General features: G+C 30.8%; 1 pseudogene; it reads right to left on the bottom strand.

Annotated features, from left to right (window-relative positions):
• On the bottom strand, positions 6,014 to 6,085 carry TRP-AGG4-1 (tRNA-Pro (anticodon AGG) 4-1; annotated as a pseudogene).

Raw genomic sequence — 6,309 nt, 5'->3', positions numbered from 1 at the left:
GTATTTCTACCCACTCACCCTTCCTCCCGCGGTGATAGTGTGATATGGTCAGGACATAATACTTTTGTGTGTTAACAAATTATAAAATTGAATATAAAATAATAACATACATGGTGAATATTAAAGTTTACTTTTTATATATGTTTAATATTTTGTATCAATGACTTGTCTAAGAATATTTCCCACTGATTTTAATATTACTTCTGTGTTTTGAAGAGAATAGGAAAGAGTATTTATGAGTTGCACAACTGACAGAACAATAATAGATTTGAGCATTTGAAAAGAGGTTTATTTTCAAATAACTCCTATGGAGCAAACCACATTACTTGAGTAGAAATATGAAATAACTAGAACTGTATTTAAAAAGTCATCACTTGGTACAATTTCATGTAAGTTATACAAAAGATGAGTATCTCAAGTTTTATTCTGATTTTACAAGTATGTAATTTTTCAATTTTTACAGGGTTATATATTCATTTAACATATTTGGTAGATATCAAACCAAAACCTATTTTTTCATGTATCATGCACTTTCTTACACATTGTAGATTCTCTTGTCATCTCTTAATCTTTCTTTCATGACCTTCTAGATTATTCTGGCATAATATACTATTTAATGGTGTAATTTATCATTGTAATGAATTGATTCTCTGTGTGATTCCCACTGGATATATAGTGGCAAAAAACCAATTGGCATGACTATGTTTCTTTATATGACAGAAAAGAATAATAACTATCGTTTAGAGGTAGCATTAGGCATTGTGAGACAGCAGAGGCAGCATTTTATAAAAAGTTTGGTTCCTATTTTAATATTCGGCATATTTCACTAACACTACAAAGAATGATTCTGCAAAAAAGGGTAATATAAGATAATTCAGTAATGCATTTTTCATTCTTTTAACATGTGGATTGAACACTAACCATGAAAAAGGCATGGCGATTCTTAATATGCAGGTTATTAAGAATAAAACTGTCATCTCTCACAGAATATTCACAGTGAATATACGACCCACAGCAATTATAATGATCAAGATTTTTAAAGTTAAATATAATAAGAAAGAGATAAAATTAGCATGGTGGACATTTGGAAGAGAAGATGTCTTTTTTCTTATGGAGGAGGGATGTAAATTCCAATAACGTAACTTTTCTATGTAGGTAAAAAGGATTTCCTATAAGAGGAAAAACAAAGTAAGCTTTGAAGAAGATATAAAATATAATAAATTCTATTGTTAAATAAACCATCCTGTGACTTTTGCTTTTAGATTTCAGGAACCACTGTAGCTTTCATAATTAGAGGTTTGATTATTTGTTGTACAACTTGATTGCTACATTCTGTATCCTAGGTCTCATGTGTTCCACATTAAAATGTTTTATAATTAAAATACAGCATCTCCATGTTGTATAATTAATTATAAATTCCAACCACAAAAGGAACAAAAACATGGCTTTCCTCAAAATGAAATGCCTATCTGACATGTGAAAAACAGTTCAGTGCATGAGGTTAAGGCTGATGTTAACTTTCTCACACAGCCGGTTACCTGCATTAATTATCAAGATTGTGAGTGGCACTTTCATTTAAAGTGAATTGTAATAACACTTTTTGAGTCACTAGGCAGATACATGAAGTGATTCAGTGTTTCAATAAAGCAGTCACAAAAATAGGTGATTTTAAAAAATAGTAATCATAAAAGTATACTTTGAGTTCATATTTCTTATCTTTTTTTAAACTTTGTTAATAGAGGAATGGTGAAGAAATATCAATGAAATTTGGCTAAGGTTTCTTGAGTCAGCAAAAATCCCAATTTATGTATCTTTATGCAGTTGGGGGAAGACCCCAAACTTATTACAAGAACCAACAAATTTTGCTAAACATAAAGGAAATAATACACTGATTACGAAATTAAATGTAACTTTCCAAATATTTTTCAAACTTACTGGTTACTTCCTTACCTGTCCCAGAGAAGATGAGGACATTTTCACTCCAACTGGCTTTAAAATTCCTAAATGAAAACCATTCAATTTGTAATTGTTATCAAATAATTACCACAATATCTGTTAGAATACAGTTTGGGCATACATTTGTGTAGCCATAACAAAAATAAATAATATTCAAGGACTAAAGTCACTTTTCACATATTGAAAATATTGGGTTCAATTATTACAAAGCTTAAGGTTCTTAGTAATGTCTCTAATCAAATAAAGATAATTTAGGTAATAGAGACTCAATGCTTCTGTTGATTACATAAAAATACATTTCCCAAGTCATTAATATAGAGGAAGTATTATGTCTCAATAGGCTTTATCCTCTGTCTTTAATTAATTGTTATTATTCCCCAATGTGCTGGGTGTACTTTTCTGATAGACTAGGAAGGGGACAAATTTAGGATCCCAGTGGCAAGAGTAAAAACTCCAGAGATCATGGACAGTAATCTAAGATCAAGTCTACAATAGAAGTCAATTTCTCAAGTTTAATTTCCAGAAAATGTACAAGAATTGAATTAGAGGGCCAGATTCTTACGCTATTAGTTAGGTGTTGCTTGATCTGTTGGAGGAATACAGGCAAGAATCCAAAAGTGAATTGCATTGCAAGACAGAAATAAGGACATAGCCAAGGCAACATAATAACTTTAAACTCTTTTATTCAACTGGCAACACTCAGAGAGGGTAAATTATATTTCAGATATTTTGTATCCCCAGGAAATTGTTCTGTAATTGTCATGAATTATATATTTAATATTTGGTACACGGTTATCACTAATTACCTGAGAAAATGAAAATGACAGTCTAATGTTGAGCCAAATAGAGAGAGGTGCCAGAATACAAATGACACAGAGAAATGTGTCTGTGTCTTTACCTCAGTTAATCCAACATAAATTAGAGGTAGATATCAAAAGAAGACTAATAACACACAGGGTGAGAAATTGGTCAAAAGAGGGAAATTTTTAAGTTTGGGTCACAATAGATATTATTCTTGTTATTCTTTATAAGACTCAGGATTCCATTTCTCTACTTTTCCTTAATTCATATTTCTTGTACTTTGTAGATATTTTAACTTTAACATATTTACTTTTTTCTTTCTTGTTATACAAATTCTATTGTAACAACACACACAAAAATAAAAATAAACCCAATGCAAAGCCACGGTCAACATGTGGTTCACCTAGATATTTTATATTAATATGAAATACTGATTTATGCACACACATGTGAGCATATACAGACTTGCACAGATGTACATTGAGAGAAGATAATTTTGATTTGCTACCTATTTTTACACTTGACTATGTATTAGAGATCATGACATTATCAGGTTTTAATGGGCTCACAGTTCTCCATTGTATGGAGGAAATATGACTCTTTAATAGAGGGTTAGCATCTTGTATAGTTCTAATTTTTGCTCCTATAAACATAACTTATAAAGATCCCTGTAACTGTGTCATACTTTTATTATTTATTTAGGATTAATTCATTGAAAGGAATAGTTTAGTAAAACAAATGCACATTCCATTTGCTAAATGTTTTTAAAAGTTAGCAAGTAGACATCCAGAAAATTTGCGAGTTTTTATTTCTTAAAAATATGTAGGATAGTGCCTATATCAGTTCATTGTAGTCACTGCTGGATATTGCAACATATTTTTAGTTTTGATTATTGAACAGAAAAATGTGACAGCTTGTCATTTTAAAAAATGTATTAATTTGACAATGTATTGATGTGCAATGCTTCTTTAGATGCTTATTAATTATTCAAATTATTTATTTTAGAGATTACTTTCAGTGAACTTTTATCCATTTTTCTACCGGTTAAATTTTTATTGACTTGTAAGAGCTCTTTATGAAATAGTAATGCTTTTTATTTGCATTTATTATAATTTTTAAAAAATTATTTGCTTTTTAATATTAATTGTTACATATTTAAATAGGTTCCTAAATTGTCTCCACTTTTAGTGTCACAACTAGGCAGTTCTTCTCCAGCCAAACTTTTATACATATTTACATATAATATTCTATATTTGTAATAATTCTCTTACCACATATATATATATACTTGCTATGAAATAAATTTAGTTTTCAGTAAATGTGGGGGAGGAATCTAACTTTAAATTTCCCTGAATCGTTAGAAAGTTGCATCAAAGTCATTCATTCAGTGAATAATCTATTTTTATCTCCTCTAATTGAGTATTTGTAAATATTTTTTGAATTATTAAATCAAAATGTATATTGAGATTTTGATAGAAATTCTGTTCAATCAACACATTAGTGGGTTTTCTCTTATAAAAATATCATCAGGGTAATAACAATTTGTTTTCTACATTGGCCTCTCAAAAAAGTTCTGTGCCATAAGCTTACTATTTTGTGCGTATCACATTAATGCTATTCATTTAAACGTGAACAGTTCTTTTCAATAGAATAATCATATCACCAGCAAATAGAAGTATATGTTGATTTTCTTTCAATAATCACAACACTTATTTTTGTTTTCTTGTCAAGTTTCACTTGTTAGAATTTCCGGAAACAAATGTTAAACCATTTATATGCCTGAAAAAATTGTTTTTTGAATTTTAAATGTTAATGTGGATGCCTCACAGTAAAATCAACTCAACGCTTGTGTGGTATACGTATATATAGAGATGTTTATATACTTTTATATAATTTTTAAATCACTATCAAGACAATCATTAAATTTTTCACTCTGTACCATTCACAGAATAATTGTATTTATATTTATAAGCTGAAATGTTCATGAAATGAATTCATCTTCAGAAGAGCTTATTAAATTCTTAATATAAAATGAATTCAATTTCCCAGCTTTGTAATAAAGTTTCCCCCGATATTCCTAAATAACATCTTGTTGTGTTTTCTTCTCATCGATATTGTGGTGGTTGTTTTCTGTGCTCCATCAGATTTTGGAATCAAATAGAATAAGAATTTTTATATAATCTGGGACCCATTAAGTATCATAAATTAGTTAATATAAAAGGATTTGAAAAAAAATCTTTAAAATGTGTGGGACTCAAAATTTGGAGTAAGGAGAATTTCTTTGCATTAGATTTTCTTTTTCTGGAGTCATGGTCTTCAGGTTTTTTTACTTATAAGTCACAACTTCACATTTTCCCAGAGAATTATAATGTTGGGTGATTCTCTAACTTAATTTGAAAAAAATAGTCTTCGCTTTTAAAATAAAATAATTAACCTGGCAAAAAAGTATCTTTTTAAAATCCTTATGCTGCGTGTTTCATGTTTTTTTACTAAACATGTTAGGAATGGCAGATTATTGGTCTTTTTAATGACACAGCTTTATTAAAAATACTTTAAAAAGTTTTATAAATGTATAATGTAAATACTATAAAATTCACCTATTATAAGCAAACAGCTCAATTGTTTTCACAAATATTTGTTACACAATGATAACTACAATCCAGTTTTAGAGTACTTTCTTCACTTTAAACAAATACCTTAATGCCTATTTACAGTCAGTATCCTTTCTACTCCCAGACCAGGAAATCACAGGCCTATGTATTCTTTATATATTTCTCTTTTCTGGACATTTCATAAAAAGGAAAAATCCAATATGTAATTTTTTTGTGTCTGGCTGCAGACTGTGTATATCTTCAAATTTCTTCCTCTTTCTTTTTTTTTTTTTTTTTTTTTTTGAGACGGAGTCTCGCTCTGTTGCCCAGGCCGGACTGCGGACTGCAATGGCGCAATCTCGGCTCACTGCAAGCTCCGCTTCCTGGGTTCACGCCATTCTCCTGCCTCAGCCTCCCGAGTAGCTGGGACTACAGGCGCCCGCCACCGCGCCCGGCTAATTTTTTGTATTTTTAGTAGAGACGGGGTTTCACCTTGTTAGCCAGGATGGTCTCGATCTCCTGACCTCGTGATCCACCCGCCTCGGCCTCCCAAAGTGCTGGGATTACAGGCGTGAGCCACCGCGCCCGGCCAAATTTCTTCCTCTTTCAAGAATATTTTTGGCTAGATTATTTTTGTTTTCACAAGAACTTTTGAACTAAAAGTTGGGCTCCTCTGGGATTTGAACCCAGGACCTTTTGCACCCTAAGTGAGAATCATAGCCCTAGACCAACCAGCCACACTCACAAGAACTTCTTAATGGCTTTTCAGTTTCTATTTTAAAGCCAGCTTAGATTTTGATTGGGATTGCCTTAGCTCTATAGATCATTTTGGGGAGAATTGGAATATTAAGAATATTCTGTTTCAACCAAGGAGCATGGTCTCTATTTACTTTGGTCTTCTTTAATATCTATGAGCAATATTGTGTAGTTTTTAATGTAAATATCTTGCACATATTTTGAT

This window comes from Homo sapiens, chromosome 2 (assembly GCF_000001405.40).
Source record: "Homo sapiens chromosome 2, GRCh38.p14 Primary Assembly".
Classification (NCBI taxonomy): Eukaryota; Metazoa; Chordata; class Mammalia; order Primates; family Hominidae; genus Homo; species Homo sapiens.
The sequence above is the reverse complement of the archived record's forward strand: the minus strand, read 5'-3'. Positions and strand labels throughout refer to the sequence as shown.